Here is a 414-nt window from a genome sequence, read left to right on the forward strand (position 1 = left end):
AGACAGGCAGATTCCAGAGGGAAGTGGGTGTGCTAGGGAGGGACTCAATGCAGAGGCACGGGGCCCAGGGCCAGGTTGGCCACATCTGGGATGTGGGGCCAGCGGGGTCTGTGGGGAGGAGACAGGCAGATTCTGGAGCACTCTGGAGACAACTGTCACGTCTCAGCCATCCACGTGAGAGCCAGATGCTAAACAGCTGGGGAGACCCCCACCTTGGAGGCATGCAGGAGAGGTGGGCACAGCCTGTGGGGGAGGGTGTCCTGCATGAGGAGGGAGCTGGGGCCGCAGGGCTTCAGGGGCTGGGTGAGTGGACTTTTGCTTCTCTAACAAATGACCACACAATGGCGGCTTAGAACAACACACATTGATTCTGTCACAGTTCAGAGACAAGAAGTCCAAAAGCAGGGTGTCGGC

This window comes from Homo sapiens, chromosome 22 (genome assembly GCF_000001405.40).
Source record: "Homo sapiens chromosome 22, GRCh38.p14 Primary Assembly".
NCBI lineage: Eukaryota > Metazoa > Chordata > Mammalia > Primates > Hominidae > Homo > Homo sapiens.